The sequence below is a fragment of the Homo sapiens genome, chromosome 10 (assembly GCF_000001405.40).
Source record: "Homo sapiens chromosome 10, GRCh38.p14 Primary Assembly".
Taxonomy (NCBI): domain Eukaryota; kingdom Metazoa; phylum Chordata; class Mammalia; order Primates; family Hominidae; genus Homo; species Homo sapiens.
In genome coordinates, this window is record NC_000010.11 from 101927375 (window position 1) to 101948235 (window position 20861).

The window sequence follows — 20861 nt, forward strand, 5'->3', positions numbered from 1 at the left end:
GGCCATTTACTTACCTACCTGGGACCAAGAGCTATAATATTCTGCAGCAAACTGCCAATCATCCATTTCTTCTCCAATGTTCTTGGCAATTTCATCTGTAACTGTCTGCTCAGAACACAGCCCTTTAAATTTACCTCAAGGTCCATACTCTGAGTTACCACTAGACATCAGGAAGCAGCTACTCCATTATCACTGTCTTAGTCACACAGGCAGTCCTTCCCAGCCACCTCCAAAAGGCTCAAGTAAGTATTTGGCATAATTCATTAAGAAAGAGGATGAACACTAAGTTTCAGCCTATAATCCCAGCACTTTGGGAGGCTGAGGCAGGAGGACTGCTTGAGCCCAGGAGTTCAAGACCAACCTGGCTGGGCAACATAGTGAGATCCTGTCACTACAAAAAGAAAAAGAAAAAGAAGAGCTGGATGCAGTGGCTCACGCCTATAATCCCAGCACTTTGGAGGGCCAGGGCAGGTGGGTCACTTGAGGTCAGGAGTTCAAGACCAGCCTGGCCAACATAGTGAAACCCCATCTCTACCAACAATACAAAAAACTAGCCGGGTGTGGTGGCACATCCCTGTAACCTCAGCTACTCAGGAGGCTGAGGCACGAGAATCACTTGAGCCTGGGAGGCAGAGGTCGCAGTGAGCCAAGACTGCGTCACTGCACTCCCGCCTGGGCAGAGCGAGACTGTCTCAAAAATAAAATAAAATAAGAAAGAGAAAATGTCAGTGTAGTTAACCAACAAAAAGGAATGTTTAATCATTTGCCAAAACAATAGTTAAAGTAAGGTCACCAGATACATACAAGATCTCTCCCAACTAACTCACAAATATAATGAAAGGTTCTTATAAGGTTCCTCAGGTTGGCTGTTCACGTTCTTATAAAATCTGAGACTTTACACAGGGTGAGGCCCCATATCTACAAGGCTTCAAATGATACTCTCAGAGAATGCACCTGGAACCACTAAAGAGATCTTTTTCATAGTCAGGTAGCTTGATTCAGGACAGAGGGCTGAGCTCAAGATTGACTCCCTTTCTCCTGGGAGCAATATTCTAGAAATAGTTCCTAATTTGAGCCAATAAAAACGGGCCACAATCGGCAGGCCCTACCTTAGTGGGAGAAAACGAGATACAAAAGACAGGGCACAAGCCAGGCACAGTGGCACATGCTTATGGTCCCAGGTACTTGGAAGGCTAAGGCAGGAGGATCACTTGAGCCCCAGAGTTTGAGGCCGCAATGAGCTATGATTATGCCACTGCACTCCAGCCTGGGCAAGAGAGAGAGGCCTTGTCTCTCGAAGTACAACAAACAAACAAAAAATACAATACAATAAGATATTTTGTTGTTGTTGTTGTTTGTTTTTGTTTTTGTTTGAGGCAGAGTTTCGCTCTTGTTGTCCAGGCTGGAGTGCAATGGTGCGATCTCGGCTCACTGCAACCTCCATCTCCCGGATTCAAGCCATTCTCCTGCCTCAGCCTCCCGAGGAGCTGGGATTACAAGCACCCACCACCATGCCCGGCTAATTTTCGTATTTTTAGTAGAGACAGGGTTTCATCATGTTGGCCAGGCTGGTCTCAAACTCCTGACCTCAGGTGATCCACCGGCCTCAGCCTCCCAAAGTGCTGGGATTATAGGCATGAGCCACCACACCTGGCCAATAAAATAAATTTTTAAAAAGAGCACAGTACAAGAATGTCTTCTACAAACCATAAAGGAACTAGACTCTAGTTCTAAAGACTCCAGACATAAAGGAACACACCTAACAACTCCTTCTTTGACTACATTATCTAAGTACTGTGTCCTTTCAAAATTATATTATTCCTGTTACTTTTGTACTTGTACTTTGTTATAAAGCTCAATATGCAGACCTTAAGAGCCAATGAGCACTGAATGCTCACATTTTGAGTAAAGGAAAAGAAATAGCTGTGGGCTATTAGCTCACCAAGGAATAAAGCAGGATCTAAAATGCTGTGTTTAACACCTACATGTGAGAAAATCTCCCACAAAGGAAATGTATGTATCTAAAATCTAAATACAGACTTTTTCCCCACTATCATCTAGTCCTTGCTCCAGAAATGATAAAGTGGACAAAATTAGAGTCCTGTTTCTAGTGAGTCCTCACTTTCTCAGGAAAGAGTGTCCTCTGCAAATAAAGTTTATTGAAGTGGGTGTTGTGTGTGTATGTTATTTACAGTTGCATAGGAGTAACATTTCTATATTTCACTGGAATTAATTTAGTATAAATCTGAAGCTAATTCCGATAAATTAAGATATGTATGGTAAGCCCTAGAGCAAGCACTAAAGAAATAACGCAAAAAATAGTGAAAAAAAATTAAAGCAATAAAAACGCTTTTTAGAAAATATTCACTTAATGCAAAAGAAAGCAGTAAAGAAGGATCAGAGGAACAAAAAATGAGATAGCAATACCTCTTTGGTCTGCAGATATTGCATATGGACATAAAACATAGGCTGAATATCCCTTATCCAAAATGCTTGGGACCAGAAGAGTTTTAGGTTTCAGATTTTTTTTTTAAATTTTGGATATTTGCATTATACTTACCAGTTGAGCATCCCTAATCCAGAAATCTGAAACACAAATTGTTCCAATGAGCATTTCCCTTAAACATCATGTTGGTACTCAAAAAGTTTCAGATTTTAAAGCATTTCAGATTTCAGATTTTCAGATCTGAGATGCTCATCCTGTACTAGCAAACTGAGTCCTGCAAAATATAAAAATTATACACCATGACCAAGTAGGATTTATCCCAGGAATGCAAGGTTTAACATCTGAAAATCAATTAATGTAGTACGTTTTATCAATAGAATAAGAAATAGAAACCACAAAATCATCTCAATAGAAGCAAAAAAAGCATTTGACAAAATCCAACACCCTTTGATGATAAAAACAGCCAACAAACTAAGAACAGAAAGGACTTTCTTCAACCTGATAAAGAGTATCTACAAAAAAAGTTCACAGCTAAATGTTTTAATAAATTAAAATACAAGAAAGAAAACTTATTAGGTTGGTGCAAAAGTAATAGCAGTTTTGCCATTACTTTTGCACCAACCTATAAAACCACCTATAATCCTGCCAACCAGAGATAAGAACATGTTGGTTAATAGCCTCTCAGGTATACGTGTATTCATTTTGGAGACATTCTTTTACCACAATGATATAGCCAAGGTTGCATGGTCAGACATCTCCTCAAAGGACTGAAAGTGATAGAAAACACAAACTCTTCCCACCCAAACTATTTTCCCATCAATGATGCAAAGGCTCAGGCTGACAGCCTAAGTTCCAGTATTGCCCCTGATGTCAGCTTGTAAATAAATATTATTTTGTGTCTCTGGTCCCTACTAAGCCCAGATGAGTACAGAAAAAGGACTGAACAAAGTTGGGTATGGAAGGGGCTGATAAGATTCCCAGACTTGCACAATCAGGACAACAAATTTTTAAAAATAATAATAATAAACATGTATATAGCACTGAATATGTGCCAGGCACTATTCTACATGCTTTATATATATTGTCATTTAGTAATCTCAATAATGACATAGGTCCATTGTTATCCTCACTTTATAGCTGAGAAAACTCAAGGAAAGAATGGTTAAATAACTTGTCCAAAGTAATGGTACAGCAAGGACTCAAACTCAGACAACCTGACTCTAGAGTCCCCACTCTTAACCACTACATTATGCTATCTCTTAAACAGCAGAGGAATGAGCAAACCTAAGAAACAAAAAGGAATGGAAATATGTAGGAAAAAACGGGAGAGGCTCCATTTCTATCTCTAATCACAGTTAAGTTCCAAATTCAGCCTGACTCAAGTTAAGAAATCTGAGCTGTAGTTATCTCAGAAAAGCAGTGGGGGCCGGGTGCGATGGCTCACGCCTGTAATCCCAACACTTTGGGAGGCCGAGGCTCACATCTGAGGGTCAGTAGTTCAAGACCAGCCTGGCCAACATGGTGAAACCCTGTCTCTACTAAAAATACAAAAAAATTAGGCCAGTGTGGTGGTGGGCACCGATAATCCTGGCTACTCGGGAGGCTGAGGCAGGAGAATCGCTTGAACCCAAGAGGTGGAGGTTGCAGTGAGCTAAGACTGCACCATTGCACTCCAGCCTGGGCAACAAGAACAAAACTGTCACAAAAAAAAAAAGCAGTGGGCATTAGGGAAACTGGATATCCACGTGCCCAAAAATGAAGTTGGATGCTTACTTTATATCATATATAAAAATTCACTCAAAATGGATCAAAGGAAGCTGGGTGTAGTGGTGTATACCCGTAGTCCTTGCTACTAGGGAGGCTGAGGCAGGAGGATCAATTGAGCCCAGGAGTTCAAGATTAGCCTGGGCAACGTAGCAAGACCCTACCTCAAAAAACAAAAAAGGATCAAGGACCTAAATGTAAGGGCTAAAACAACATAAAACTCTTAGAAGAAAACATGGGAGAAAACCTGATGACATTGGATTTGGCAATGATTTCTTGGATGTGATAACAAAAACATAAGCAACAAGCGAAAAAATAGCTAAGTTAAATTTCATCAAAATTAAAAACTTGTGCATCAAAGGACACCATCAATGAAATGAAAGGCAACCCATGGAATGGGAGAAAATATCTGCACATCATATGCCTGATAATGAATTAATATCTAGAATAAAGAACTCCTAAAACTCAACAACAAAACACCAAAAAACTCCATTAAAAAATGAGCAGAAGACTTCAATAGACATTTCTCCAAAGAAGATATACAAATGGCCAATAAGCATATAAAAAGATGCTCAACATCACTAGTTATTTAAAAAAATGAAATTAAAGTCACTATGCGATAGCACTTCACACCCGCTGGGATGGCTAGTAACCAAAAAATGGAAAACAGGAGAGAGGCAGAGCAAAAAACAAAAACAGAAACAGAAAACAAGTGTTGGGAAGAATGTGAAGAAATTGGAAAGTAACATGGTGCAGCCACTTTGAGTGACAGTTACTCAAAATGTTATACAGAGAATTACCATATGATTCAGCAATAACACTTCTGGGTACATACCCAAAAGAAATGAAAGCAGAGTCTCAAAGAGATTTACATACACTCATGTTCACACTAGCATTAGTCACAATAGCTAGAAGGTGGAAGCAACCCAAGTGTCCGTTGACACGAAAATGGAGAAACAAAATGTGGTATATTCATACAATGCAATATTATTCACCCTTAAAAAGGAAATTCTGCTACATGCTACAACACGGACGAACCTTGAGAATATTATATTAGGCAAAATAATCCAGTCACGAAGGACAAATATTTTATAATTCCTCTTATATAAAGTTCCTAAAATAGTCAAATTCATAGAAACAGAAAACAGAATGATAATAGCCAGAGGCTGGGAGAAAGAGGGAATAGGGAGTTTGTATTTAATGGGTACAGAGTTTCAGTTGAAGAAAAAGAAGTAGCCCTGGAGATGGATGTTGGTGATGGTTGTGCAACAATGTGAATGTACTTACCATTAAACTGTACACTTAAAAATGGTTAAAATGGGCCAGGAGCGGTGGCTCACGCCTGTAATCCCAGCACTTTGGGAGACTGAGGCAGGCGGATTACGAGGTCAGGAGATCGAGACCATCCTGGCTAACACGGTGAAACCCCGTCTCTACTAAAAATACAAAAAATTAGCCTAGCGTGGTGGTGGGCACCTGTAGTCCCAGCTACTCGGAAGGCTGAGGCAGGAGAATGGCGTGAACCCAGGAGGCGGAGCTTGCAGTGAGCGGAGATTGCACCACTGCACTCCAGCCTGGGCGACAGAGCAAGACTCTATCTCAATTTAAAAAAAAATCGTTAAAATGGTAAATTTTATGTTATGTGTATTTTTATCACAAGTAATAAAAAATAGGGCAAACATAGAAAAAGACTCTAAGAAAATTTCAGGATAAGTTTAGGAGGGGGTTTAGATGCTAAAGTCACACTCATCTAAAACACAGCAGCCTCCAGCTAAAAATCTTAATATTTAATTATGAATGTCTGAATCTCCTAAACTAAGACTTCTTTACCTCACTGCAGTTCACCAAGTCCAGCTATGACCTATTGTAAAACTTCATTTTGCAGCATAAACCAAACTAAGGTAAAACAGATGATTAACCACATGGGATTCAGTATTTGGTTTTTTAATTCTAGCTGTAGTCTTAAGAGATTAGGGTACAGCAACCATTACAATGATATGTAATGCTCCCAGTCATTGGGTAAACAATATTATACCAGCTTCATTTTGGTGCTTTGTTTTAATCTGCATAATGCTTTTCATTTTCTCTAATGGGAGATCAGCAGGGTCTGATTAACAGAAAAAAAAAGGTCATGATTGATAAATTCTAACTCAGTGAAGATAATATGAGCCTACCTGCCACCTCAGAGCAGACAACTGCAGAATAGAAGGTTATGTTCATGTACTCCCTGCTAGTCAAGAGTCAACAGCCCAATGGCTCTGCTTCTATCATTAATCAATTTAGTCCACATTTACTTTTCACTAGACTAAGTTGCATCCTTCAGCTGAAGTGCCTGGACATGAAACTGCTTCTCTCTCATTGGTAACCATTTTGTTAAGTGAATTATAGCAATGCAGCAAAGATTTCAGCCCAAACAGGTGAGTGGGCAAAGGAAGTTGGGGAGACCTCACATCCCTTCCTAACCCTAACTTTGCTATCGACAGTGATTACTGCTTGAAGGCTTATTTCCTGTGACATTCAGAATTCTGTACACAGCCTATTCCAAAGGATGTTATACTCAATAACCCCATTATCTCAGAGGCTGCTGAAAGCTATTCTTGTTCCTCAGCCTCCCCAGCAGTGTACACTTAACCATGTGTGTGTGTGTCTATGCGCGTGCACATGTGCGCACCCATGTATGAGGGGAAGAGTGTTTTTTAGGGTGAAAGAAAACAGCTACATAAGCAAGTAAGAAGGGTGGGTGAGGGGACCACTTTGGCACTGGAACAAAAAGACCATGAAGTGAACAGGAAGACAAGAAGCAAACTCCCTAGGTGAATAATTAAGAGATTTAAAAGAAACACACTAAATTCTCATTCCAAACCCCAGGCTTGTCACTAATCATAACAATATCTGAAAAGTCATTCTTGAAGAAATACTGAATGTCAGCTTAAGGCATTCCAAATAAAGAAAAAAGTTAATACATTAACCATAGTTAAAACTTATCCACTTAAGAAAATTACAGATCAGGAGAATCACCTACTTGCAGTGTGATTCAGTCACTATTTCTTTCTGTGAGCAATCAGAGAACAGGATTTTGAACTCGGTCCTAATAAAATGCTCATTAAGTGAAAAGCATTAAAATTTTAATTTGAAGAGATTCATTAAGGGCCTCAAATTACTTACCCTGAAAGTTGTTTGGTTAGATGAAGGTCAGATTTTAGTTTACTATCTTTCTCTCTTTTGACTAATAAGGTTAATAGCAGACATCTTCCTAAAGTACAAGACCTCACTGGGATTGCCTGCCAAGTGTTGGCAGGAAATATTTAGCATATAAGTCTTCAGACAAAAGTTTCCAAATTTCAGGATAAGTTTAGGACGGGTTTTAGATACTAAAGTCACACTCCTCTAAAACACAGCAGCCCCCAACTAAAAATCTTACTATTTAATTACAATGTCTGAATTTCCTAAACCAAGACTCCTTTACTGTGCTGCAGTTCACCAAGCAGCCCTGCACTGGCCCCTCAAAGTACTCCTTTGTGAACCATTAGATCTGTGGAAGCAGCTGAAGCAACAATTACACCAAGAAGCGGAATCTCAAAGGTGGAGCAATATATATATATATATATATATATACATTTTTTGTATAGCAAAGCAACGACACAACTCTCCTATAGAGAAGAAAACATACAGGGCCCTGTTTGTGTTCCAATAAAGACAGCAGTTTCTAAGCAGCTGCATTTTAAGAATCTCACTGAAGGATCAAACAGGGAGAGGCAAATTGTTTAAATACAAATAACTTTGACAGTTAAAGAACTAGCATGACTAAGCCATGAAAGACAAGTGAAAAGCAAAAAGACTGACACTTGAGCAAATTTATGCTCCGAGTGTGACGAAGTACTTTTAACTTTCACTGTCACAATCTAAACTAAGTATTCTTAGAACAGAAAGGTCTACAGCCTTCCTGCTGCCTTTCACCTGCTAGGGAGACACTACCTTACAGTAGTCATCAGATGCACTGCATTCCAGATCTCAAAGACATAATTTGGAGCTATTGTCAACTGGCAAACTAGTCTGGAAGGCCTCACAGCTGTTTGCTGTCTAAAGACTTCACATGCAACCCAAGCCCTTCTCATGGTTATTAAAGAACATACTACAGAAGAGGTGGCTAAGAGTTTGTTCACTCTGCCTTAAAAATCCTTTTCAGGTGTGGGATCAGCACAAATACCTTTTATAAACAGCAGAAACAAATGCTGCACAACATCAGAATTTTACTACTAAGTGTTTATATCTCTATCCTTGATCATCAACTTGGTGTTAAATATCCCACAGTATTCCTGGATAACCACAGGTCAGATTTTCTGACACAGGTTGTTTTCTAAACCACAGAAAGTAGTGTCATGGGTATATAACACAAGCTATTAGCGAAAGGCAAAGGAGCCTAAGGCAGCACTCATTACCATTGGTTCACTGGAGTACGTACTTCCAAGTCATACTATTTTTTGCTCTCTGCTAAGAGAATACTGACTGAGAAAAGAAAACTCCCTGGACTGCCCTCATTCAAAGCTATCAAGTTCTCCCTACCAAGGAAAGCAAAACACCTTTCAAGGTTAAGGTAATATCTTAACTTTTATAGAAAAGAAAAATTGGCCGGGTGCGGTGGCTCATGCCTGTAATCCCAGCACTTTGGGAGGCCGAGGTGGGTGGATCACGAGGTCAGGAGTTCGAGACCAGCCTGGCCAACATGGTGAAACCCCATCTCTACTAAAAATACAAAAATTAGCCGGGAATAGTGGTGCGTGCCTGTAATCCCAGCTACTCAGGAGGCTGAGGCAGCAGAATCACTTGAACCTAAGAGACAGAGATTGCAGTGAGTACAGATCACGCCACTGCACTCCACCCTGGGCAACAGAGTGAGACTCTGTCTCAAAAAAAAAAAAAAAAAGAAAGGAAAAATGAAGAAATGAAGATGTACTTAGGAAACACTCTGAGGAAGGGTCAAAATGCTAAACCTAAAAAAAAAAAAACTATGGCAATTTCTCAAAAAATTAAATACAGAATTATCATATGACACAGCAATTCCTCCTCTGGGGATATGTCCCCAAAAAGTGAAAGTGGGGTCTCAAACAGGTATCTGTATACCCATGTTCATACCAGCATTATTTATAATAACCAAAAAGTAGAAGCAACTCAAGTGTCCATCAACGGATGAATGGATAAGTAAAATGTGATACATACAGACAGAGGAAGATTATTCACCCTAAAAATGAAGGGAATTCTGACACATGCTACAACAGGAATGAACCTTGAAGACACAAGTGAAATAAGCAGTATTTTATAGTTCACTAGGAGCTTTCATATGCATTACATTATATAATTCTCACAACTACTACCTGGTGAAATAGTTGCTATCACCAGCACCCCCACTTTACAGAGGGTGGATAGAGGCCCACAGAAGCTAAGTAACTTGCTCAAGGTCACACAATAAGTGGTAGAGACAAAAGAAAAAAATAAGTTTTTCCAACTCAAATTTCCATATTCCTTTCAATACATCATGGTGAGTTTTCTGTTTAACCCTCCATGTTAAGTCTTCAATGCAGCTTTACAGAAGGAGGCATTATGGTTTGCAAGAAAGAGCAGCCCTGAACTTGGACTTAGAAGACCTATGATTAGGCTGGGCATGGTGGCTCATGCCTGCAGTCCCAGCACTTTGGGAGGCCAAGGCAGGTGGATCATTTGAGCTCAGGAGTTTGAGACCAGCCTGGACAACATGGTGAAACCACATCTCTACAAAAAAATACAAAAATTAGCCAGGTCTGGTGGCACGTGCCTATAGTCCCACCTACTTGGGAGGCTGAGGTGGGAAGACTGCTTGAGCCTGGGAAGCGGAGGCTGCAGTGAGCAGAAATCGCGCCACTGCACTCCAGCCTGGGCGACAGAGTCAGACCCTGTCTCCAAAAAAAAAAAAAAAAGAAGAAGAAGAAGACCTATTATTAATTCTCAGCTTTGCCAAGGAACAAATATGGGGCCTTCCACAATATACAACATCTTTAAGACTCAGTTTCCTCACTGGGAAAAAGTATATTTTAAAAAGTACATAATACACCCTATAGAGTTTGAAGATTAAAGAAGGTAGCATAAGAAAGAGTAGCACAAAGTCTGGCATTTAATAAGTGAGAATAGATGTCAGAAAAAAAAAGGGTAAACATTTGCAGGCTTAGTACTACCTGTATTTTTCCCTGATCTGGCCTTACTGTGGTGACATTCAAACACTTCTTTCCAATAATCTCTTAAGAAAACTGATTTGTTTGTTTTGAGACAGGGTCTCACTGTTACCCAGGCTGGAGTGCAGTGGCATGATCTTGGCTCACTGTAGCCTCAACCTGACCTCCTGGGCTCAAATGATCCTCCCACCTCAGGATCCTGAGTAGCTGGGACTACAGGCATGTGCCACCATGCCCAGCTAATCTTTGTTTATTTTGTTTTTTAGAGACAGGGTCTCACTATGTTGGCCAGGCTGGTCTTGAACTCCTGGGCTCAAGTGATCCTCCCACCTCTGCCTCCCAAAGGGCCAGGATTACAGGCGTGAGCCACTGAACCTGTCCATGACTGGATCTTTTTGCTACTTTAGATGTATACTGAGTCCGGTTATTAGCAACAGTAAAAATGATGTGATTATTGCAGCAAGTTCATCAGAGAAATTTAAGGAATGAAAATGAAGGTATATGCCTGACAGTCATGCAAAGAGAAGAAAGAAGTTACATGGTAACAAGGCTCAGCCCAGTCCTTTCTTAGCTGTCGGAAAAAGGAGAGGTCAAAAGCTTAAATCAGCTGCTTGATGGCCCTTGGGAAGAACACAGACAGCAGCCAAGCCAGAAACCACTGAAAGGAAAAGCAGAAGATAAGGCAAGTATAAAGGAATGTGATCAAGGAAACAGGCCCCAGATGAAAAGGAGCTGCCTGGAAGGCCTACATAAATACATGAATGAGTCAACACAACATAAATTATACCCATATGCACTTCATACCCTAGCCCAGAACCTGGTGACCTGGTGCTTCATTCAAACACCCACATTTGTCATGCTGCCCTTGGGTCATAAACAGATATTTGGGAGAAGGCAGTTTGTAATTCCTGATTCTTACAGAAAATCGCATTTATCGTAAGGCCTCACCACAGTATCTGGATTATTTGCTAGGTGCAGATATGCATTTATTTGTGAGATTTATAAAATTGTGTTTGATGCAAAATGAGTCTGGTGACAGGTAAGGCAGACCAACCTTCACTGCAATCTTGTTAGCACATCTCACCCCATGCTCCCTCATCCCAGCCCTCTTAACACACAAATTTCACACTTCTCCTTTTATGCCCAGATGTGCCAAACAGGGTAGTAAATCACTGCAGGGACAGGGCATTTTACCTTTAAATAAAAAGAAAGAAAAGATATAGGAAAAAAATCACAGACCAGCTTTGTCACACATTAGAATCTATACCAAGTTGTAAATGTGCATTACTATTACTAGGAATGTCTGGCAAGGCTTACATCTGGAGCTAAATCAAGTTCCCCATCTGTTGGGTTTGCCTCTTTTACTCAATGTTAATTTTTCAATTGTTTATAAGAACAGTGTAATAACTGTTGAGAAAATGAAAAATCAAAGGCACAAAGGGAGCAACGAACAGAAGAAAAGTCGAATTTAGGTTTCCCAATGGTGAAAGCACTTTCTCTTCTCCATTTACCAACAGCTCACACCTGTGCATGGGTGGTGCCTCCTCAAGACCCTGACCAACTCCATGCCTGACACAACTTTATGCAATACATACAGCACTCTGTAATTGTCTTGCTGTTTCATAAGCAACCTAAAATGACTCAGCCCCATGGACTCCAATTGCCTCTGTTTACCATAAATAGAAATAGTCACGTAAAGTAAAAGGTCAACATTCTAGATCTCCATGAATCATTCACTGAAGTCATGGAGAAAAGCTGAAAATCTTTGGAGAAAAGTTTTCAGATGACCTATACATAGAGAACACTCTGGCAACTAGCATGCCTGAAAAGGGCTTATAACCATCTCTCAGTAAAAAAATTCACAGAACAGCCAGCACTTTGAGCTGTTTCAATATGATAAAATAAAAGCCTCGTGTACTCCTGCTTTTCTTGATCAAGTACGACAATTTTTCTTCCACTCCTACAGACATCAAGGCTTAAAATAGTAGTAGTGTTCAACACACTTTACTTAGAAAGGTACAATAAACCTCAGGAAGAGCCAAGGAACTCTGCAAGAGATACTTCTCATTCCTTACCTGATATTAACCAATGCATGGGTCACCTTGCTAGCTGCTTCCTTCCACTGGCCTGCATTGGTAGAAAGCCTCAGGACTGCAAAGAAGGAAAGAACACAGATCTGTCAAACCCCCGGCATAAAACACAAACATGAGGAATGAAGACACATCTCAGAATAGCACTCTCAGAATAACCAAACAAAGCCTGCGCCAATCTTCTGTTAAAAACATCCTCAGCTTAGATAAAAATACAAGGGCTTATAGAATTCTCGCAACTATTTTCACTCCAGTTTTTTCTCTAACTTCTTTTCACTTTCTATCAAAATACTCTACTCCTTCTCTGCCTTAGGTTTTCCCTCCCCTCTGCTAACCGGGTTCCATAACTTAATTTTTGCATGCATTTACAATCTGCACTGGGGTGGTGATGTGAGGGTAAACTTGTTGCCATATCTATCATTTCCCTAATGGTGGGGGCTGATTTAGTGGAACTGGCTGGCTTAGTTGATGTCCCTTCCTGCTCTATGTATATGCATAAACTCCTTAACATATAAACTCAGTCAAACAGGACACATCCACATAGAGGATGGTCATGTGTCAATCAAGGATTAACCTTTTTTTTTTTAATTATACTTTAAGTTCTAGGGTACATGTGCACAACGTGCAGGTTTGTTACATATGTATACATGTGCCATGTTGGTGTGCTGCACCCAATAACTCGTCATTTACATTAGGTATATCTCCTAATGCTATCCCTCCCCCATCCCTCCACCCCACAACAGGTCCCGGTGTGTGATGTTCCCCACCCTGTGTCGAAGTGTTCTCATTTTTCAATTCCCACCTATGAGTGAGAACAGATTAACCTTTTTTTGCTCCTCTGACTTAACTGTTTGACCTGCAAAATGAATCTACAAGAACGTTCTTCCCTTGTGTGACCAAATTCTCTCCCTTTTCCAAACTCACACAGAGAGGAAAGATAATAGAAATATAGACCTGAATATATCCTCTATCAGCTATGATCTTCAGAGCCACACATGCCATTTTAGAAAAGAGACAAAACAGCACAAGTGCTCCTTGAAAGAGCAAGCACATGGTAGGCACTCTAAGTGTATGTTTTAATGAATGGCTAATTAATAAGGGCTAAATATGCAGAGAGCTTACTATGTGCCAGGCACTGGACCAACTTAGGTTATATGTAATGTAGCATACAGATGAGGAAAACCAAGACTCAGAGGAGACAAGTACGGTAACTGATTGCAGTCATTCACACAAGTTGTAAGTAATGGAGCTGGAATTCAAACCTGGAGGGAAATGACTCAAGAGCCTACATTTATGTAGAGAAGTAACTACAAGATCTCTGAAGCCAATGGTCAGGGTCCAAGTCCAGCCCCTACCACCTACTAGAAAATAACAGCAATACCTATATGAAAGAATTGTTATATATAAAGCTCTTAGATTAGTGCCTGCCACATAGTAAATAAGTTTTAGCTATTATTAATTTCAACAGACTACCTCCCAAATGAATGAATGAATGTACCTGGACTTTCCCAAAAGAAAAAAAGTAGGGCCTCACTAACATTAAGAAATGTGTGACCAATCTGTATATGACCCTCATAGCTGAGTACCATCACTATGTACGCCTGACCAAGATTCTGAAGAGCTGCAGCAGAAGCTCTATCAGAGGGAGGGCCTGTGGCTGTGATGGGGGAAAGAAAGCTCATCTGGCTGCTCTACGTCTGTTCCAGCAATGTCTCACATTTATAAATTCATGCAATTTAATGAAAAAGAAGACAGAAGACTTAATAAAACACATCAACAGTGCTGCTTTTTTAATTTATAAGATTTAGTGCAAGGGAATTTGGTATAGTTCCAAGTTAGAGCTCTACAGTCTAAACTCAGGTTTCACTGAGTGCATGTGAGAATTTATTCATGTAATGAACAAAATTGTTTCAGGAAGCCATACATTTATTGTTCAACTCAATTGTGAAATTTATTTTTTTAATTTTATTATTATTATACCTCAATTGTGAAATTTATTTAGATGCATTGGTTTTTCACCAGATCCCCCACAAAAATCACAAGTTCTCTGATGGTAGAACCTAGACATTTATGAAATGGAGCTGAATTTTGCCTCCTCACATTTTCACAGAGGTATTGAACTCTGTCCACGGATTACTTCTCTGTAATATCCTGTCAGCTCTGTTCCTTACTGAACAGGCACCCAGATGACCTCATCACTACATTTCCTTTGGAAACACCATTGGTTTTTACATTCTTTTCTAAGCTACCAAACTGAAACACAAAATTATTTCAAAATTCCCTAAAAGCCTCAAACTAAAGCCATCATTTATGTAGTAAATTATAGTACACAAAAATAATATGCAGCCATTTAAAAAGAGACATGAAAATTACAAAAAAAATGAATTGTATGTTAAAAAACACAAGCTAGAAGGATATCATGATTACAACTCTGTAAAACTATGCATGCATGTGGGTTAATATACAACAGTGAAAACAGTGGTAGTACTAGAACCAAGGAATTATAAGATTTTAATTATTTTCTATGCTTTTTCTTTAGTATTGGTAATTACCTTTGATTTTAAAAACAAGAAAAGACAGCTTAAAACATAATGTCATTTATGGTTCTGGGTAGCTTCTGTGGAAGTCCTTCCCATACAGTGGGCTTCACTGCAGCCAAACAGGAAGATTAAGTGTGTGCCTTTATCAAAAATGTCTTAGTGAGCCGGGCACAGTGGCTCATGCCTGTAATCCCAGCACTTTGGGAGACTGAAGTGGGTGGATCACTTGAGGTCAGGCATTCAAGACCAGCCTAGCCAACATGGTGAAACCCCATCTCTACTAAAGATACAAAAAAAAATTAGCTGGGTGCCGTGGCACATGCCAGTAGTCCCAACTACTCAGGAGGCTGAGGCAGGAGAATTGCTTTAACCCTGGAGGCACAAGTTGCAGTGAACCAAGATTGCACCACTGCACTCCAGCCTAGGCAACAGAGCAAGACTCCATCTCAAAAAAAAAAAAAAAAAATGTCTTTCCTCTTCTAGCCAAGATGCAGTAACTTACCCTCCTACCTTAAACAACAGAAACCTGGACAAAACATATGAAACAATGGTTGTCAGACATTGGAAAACAAGCAGCATAGAATTGTGATCCCCTAAAAGGAGGAAAACAAAGAAGGTGAACCCTACAACTGCCCTGCAGAAAAGTTCCCACACTGCAGGGTTGGGAAGAGGAATCTAAACAGAAGCTAGAAGTCTTGCCAAGTTGTAGACATAGAGATCAGCATTTGGAGAGGCCAAGACATCTAGAGGATGTGGGGCAGAAAGCTGGCAAGGAGGGAGTTTGACAGACAGCTCTGCAGATCCCTTACATCTCTTGCAGACACTGATCTATGCATATGGAAGAAGAAACTACCCAAGGCCGAGGGCGAAGAACCACTAGAAAGGAGAAGAAACTGAGGAGCTCACGGCACGCTCCACAAAGAAAATAACTTATGTTTCCACCAGCAAGAGTGGAAAGACCTAGTAACACATGGAGTATCAGGCAGGTTCTGGAAATGGGTACTGCATTTGTAATGGGACAAATTAGCCTACATTCAAGGTTGCTCTTGATCTACCCTCAACCCTTAAAAGCAAACCCTGAAAAGATCCAACTGATTCCACATAACATAATCAAATTCCAGAATAAAGTCCAATGTTACATAAAAGAAACAGAACAAAATCCAGCATCCACATCATAAAAATCACAATTTCTAAATTCTAATAACAAAAATAACCAGGCATGCAAAGAAACAAAAACATATGAACCATAAGAAACAAAAAAATATACGAAGCATAAGCAGAGGGAAAATCAGTCAGTAGAAACAGACCTAGACGTGAAGAAAGACAATGGAAGGAGAAGACAAGGACAATAAAATAGCAATTAGAGGCCAGGCACGGTGGTTCATGCCTGTAATCCCAGCACTTTGGGAGGCCGAGGTGGGTGGATCACGAGCTCAGGAGATCGAGACCATCCTGGCAAACACGGTGAAACTCCGTCTCTACTAAAAATACAAAAAATTAGCCGGGTGTGGTGGCGGACACCTGTAGTCCCAGCTACTCGGGAGGCTGAGGCAGGAGAATGGCGTGAACCTGGGAGGCGGAGCTTGCAGTGAGCCGAGATCCTGCCACTGCACTCCAGCCTGGGTGACAGAGCAAGACTCCATCTCAAAAAAAAAAAAAAAATCTATTAGAAATACGTTCGATATATTCAGGAAGACTGAGGAAAATTTGAAAATGATGAGGAAAGAAATGGAAATATTAAAAAAGAAACCCACGGCTAAGCACAGTGGCTAATGCCTATAATCTCAGCACTTTGGGAGGCTAAGGCAGAAGGATTGCTTGAGCCTATATATATATATATATATATATATATATATAGAGAGAGAGAGAGAGAGAGAGAGAGAGAGAGAGAGAGAGAGAGAGAGAGAGAGAGTCCAAACTGAGAACAGAAGAGCAGGGTCAAAAAATTTGAAGAAATTATAGCCAAAACATTTCCACATTTGATGAAAACTAAAAATGTACAGATTCAAAAAGTTCTAAGAACCCCAAGCAAAATAAAGAAAACCACGCCAAGGCATGTGATAATCATATTGTTGAAAACCAATGATAAAGAGAAAATATTAAAAGCATTCAGAGGCCAGGCATGGTTACTCACGCTTGTAATCCCAGTACTTTGGGAGGCTGAGGCGGGTGGATCACCTGAGGTCAGGAGTTCGAGACCAGCCTGGCCAACATGGCGAAACCCTGTCTCTACTAAAAATACAAAAATTAGCCAACCATGGTGGTGCACACCTGTAATCTCAGCTACTCGGGAGGCTGAGGCACAAGAATCGCTTGAACCCGGGAGACAGAGGTTGCAGTGAGCCCAGATGGCACTACTATGCTCCAGTCTGGGGGACAGAGTGAGACTCCATCTCAAAAAAAAAAGAGCATCCAGAGAAAAACAAAGATATTATGCACAGAGAAACAAGATGAAAACAACGGACCTCTTACTAGCAACTATGTAAGCCAGCAAATAATCAAATGAGATTTTTAAAGTAATGAATGAAAAATTTTATATTAAACAAAAATATCTTTTTAAAAAATGGTGTTCTACTTCCAGCATGGCAGAGTAAGCCCACTAAAGCCTCTATCTCCTGCTGATTACAGCTAAAAACTCTAGACAAAACATGAAAAGTAATTATCTGAGGGCTCTGAAAATTAAACAAAAGCAGACAGATTATAGAGGGAAGTCAAAACTTGGAGAAACGCTCACAAGAGGGTCAGTTTCCAGGTTTTATTTTTCCTATTTTCTCTTACAGCTTTGCCCCAAGGGTCAGCCAGTTCCAGAGCTGCATAGTGGAACTATGTGGATGGCTAAAACTCAAAAGGAATCCTCATCTTTCTGGAGAAAGAAATTGAGAGGCCAGGCGCAGTGCCTCGTGCCTGCCATCCCAACACTCTGGGAGGTCAAGGAGGGTAGATCACTTGAGTCCAGGAGTTCAAGACCAGCCTGGGCAACATGCCGAAATCCTGTCTCTACAAAAAATACAAAAATTAGGCTGGACACGGTGGCTCGCGCTTGTAATCCCAGCACTTTGGGAGGCTGAGGCGGGTGGATCACCTAAGGTCAGGAGTTCGAGACCAGCCTGACCAACATGGTGAAACCCCACCTCAACTAAAAATACAAAACTTAACCAGGCGTGGTGGTGCATGCCTGTAATCCCAGCTACTCCAGAGGCTGAGGCAAAAGAATCACTTGAACACAGGAGGCAGAGGTTGCAGTGAGCTGAGAGCGTGCCTGGGTGACACTCCAGCCTAGGTGACAGAACGAGACTCTGTCTCAAAAAAGAAAAAAAAAAATCCAGAAGATTATAACCAATCTCTGAGTGTATACAACATAACATTAAAAATGTCCAGGAGGAGGCCAGGCTCGGTGGCTCATGTCTGTAATCCCAGCATTTTGAGAGGCCAAGGTGGGCAGATCACCTGAGGTCAGGAATTCGAGACCAACCTGGCCAACATGACAAAACCCCATCTCTACTAAAATACAAAAAATTAGCCAGGCATGGTGGCAGGCACTTGTAATCTCAGATACTGGGGAGAATGAGGCAGAAGAATCGCTTGAACCCAGGAGGCAGAGGTTGCAGTGGGCCACTGCACTCCAGCCTGGGCGACAGAGTAAGACTCTGCCTCAAAAAAAAAAAAAAAAAAAAAAAAAAAAAAAAGTCCAGGAGGTAATCCACAATTACTCATAAAGAACCAGAATATATAATAAAACAAAAAAAGTGACCAATTCTCAAAAGAAAAGACAAAAAACAGATATCTGAGATGGCACATATGTTAAAATTATCATGGACTTTAAAGCAGTTATCATAACTATGCTCCATGAGGAAAAGGTAAACATACTTGAAATGAATGGAAAGATACAAGTTCAGCAAAGAAACTGAAGCCATAACAAAGAACCAATTAAAATATTTAGAAGTAAAGCTGGGCACAGTGGCTAATGCCTTGTAATCCCAGCACTTTGGAAGGCTGAGGTAGGAGGATCACTTGAGCCCAGGAGTTTGAGGCTACAGTGAGCCAAGAGTGCACCACTGCACTCCAGCCAGGGTGACACATATTTAGAAGTAAAATATGTACTATGTGAAATAAAGAATTCACTGGGTGGGCTTAATAGCAGAATAGACTGACAAAGGAGTCAGTGAACATAAAGTATAATAGAAATAATTAAATACGAAGAATAGAGACAAATGGGGGAGGGGAGGGACAGGGCCTCAGAAACATATGGGACAATATGGAAAAGTCTAATCTTTGTGATACTATAGTCTCAGAAAAGGAGGAGACAGAAATTGGGGCAGAGTTTCTGTCCCCAGTGAAAAAAGAAGGGCTAAAGACTTCCCCAAATTTGGTGAGAGTCAAGAAGCTCAGCAAACCCCAAATAGGATGAACTCAAAGAAAAATTGTGCATAGATATATTACAATCACACTGCTGAAAGCCAAAGATAAGGAAAAAAAAAAAACCTTTTAAGAAGCTAGAGAAGGACAGGTACGGTGGTGGCTCAGCACTTTGAGAGGCTGAGGCAGGTGGATCACGAGGTCAGGAGTTCAAGACCAGCCTGGCCAAGATGGTGAAACCCCGTCTCTACTAAAAATACAAAAATTAGCCAGGCGTGGTGGTGGGCACTTGTAATCCCAGCTACTCGGGAGGCTGAGGCAGAGAATAGCTTGAACCCGGGAGGCAGAGCTTGCAGTGAGCTGAAATCACCCCACTGCACTCCAGCCTAGGCGACAGAGCGAGACTCTGTCTCAAAAATAAAAAAAAAGAAGCTAGAGAAAAACAACATACTACAAACAATGGAACAATTATTCAAATGACTACAGATTTATTTTCAGAAACCATGGAGGCCAGAAAAAGGAGAATAATAGCTTCAAAGTACTTAAAGATAAAAATTACCAACTAAAAATTCTATATCCAGCTGGGTGCAGTGGCTCACACCTGTAATCCCAGCTACTCAGGAGGTTGAGGCAGGAGGATCACTTGAGCCCAGGAGTTTAAGGCTGCAGTGAGCTATAATCACACCACTGCACTCCTGCTTGAGCAACAGAGCAAGACCCCATCTCCTAAAAACTAAAAAAAAAAGACCAGGCACAGTGGCTCACACCTGTAATCCCAGCACTTTGGGAGGCCAAGGCAGGCGGATCACCTGAGGTTGGGAGTTCAAAACCAGCCTGACCAACATGGAGAAACCCCATCTCTACTAAAAATACAAAATTAGCCGGGTGTGGTGGCGCATGCCTGTAATCCCAACTACTTGGGAGGCTGAGGCAGGAGAATCGCTTGAACCGGGGAGGCAGAGGTTGCAGTGAGCCGAGATCATGCCATTGCACTCCAGCCTGGGCAACAAGAGCGAAACTCAAAAATAAATAAATAAATAAATAAATAAATAAATAAATAAATAGACCCTATATAGTAGCAAAGTTTCTACATTTTATTGAAGTGGTACAATCCTGACTTTAGACTGCAAAAGGTACATACAATGTAATCTTAGAGTAACTGCTAAAAAATACAAATATAGCCCAAAAGCCAGCTAATAAATTAAAATGGAATATTTAAATATATTCAAATTATCCAAAAGAAAGCAGAAAAGCAGGTACAGAAGAGCCAAAAAGTGCGGGGAGGGGCAAACAAAATACGTGGTAGAACTGAAAGAAACTATATTGATTATCGCATTGTAAATATGTATAGATAATATGCCAAATAAGATACAGAGATTATCAGACTGGATAATAAACACGACCCAACTGTAAGCTGTGTACAAGACAGACACTTTAAATATAAAAATATAGCTAACAGGAA

General features: G+C 40.5%; 1 protein-coding gene across 18 annotated transcripts in view, besides 1 other annotated feature; it reads right to left on the reverse strand.

Moving 5' to 3' along the window:
- The window catches only part of ARMH3 (armadillo like helical domain containing 3), a 210575-nt gene that overhangs the window by 81776 nt on the left and 107938 nt on the right, over positions 1–20861 (reverse strand). For 16 of the 18 annotated variants that reach the window (XR_001747199.2, XM_047425735.1, XM_011540157.3 and 13 more), the window contains one exon: positions 12489–12564. The exons of the other annotated variants lie outside the window; for them this stretch is intronic. Coding sequence is in view for 15 of the 16 variants with exons in the window: in XM_047425735.1 (XP_047281691.1) it covers positions 12489–12564 (76 nt within the window). In the remaining variant the exon portion in view is untranslated. The remainder of the gene's footprint in view (positions 1–12488; positions 12565–20861) is intronic. 18 annotated transcript variants of the gene reach the window in all.
- Positions 11235–12434: an enhancer, noted in NCBI's record as "CDK7 strongly-dependent group 2 enhancer chr10:103698366-103699565 (GRCh37/hg19 assembly coordinates)". NCBI's record gives its function as "activates an origin of replication core promoter dependent on BRD2, BRD4, P300/CBP, MED14 and CDK7 cofactors, with strong dependence on CDK7, by STARR-seq in HCT116 cells {active_cell/tissue: HCT116}" and the evidence as "EXISTENCE:reporter gene assay evidence [ECO:0000049][PMID:35650434]".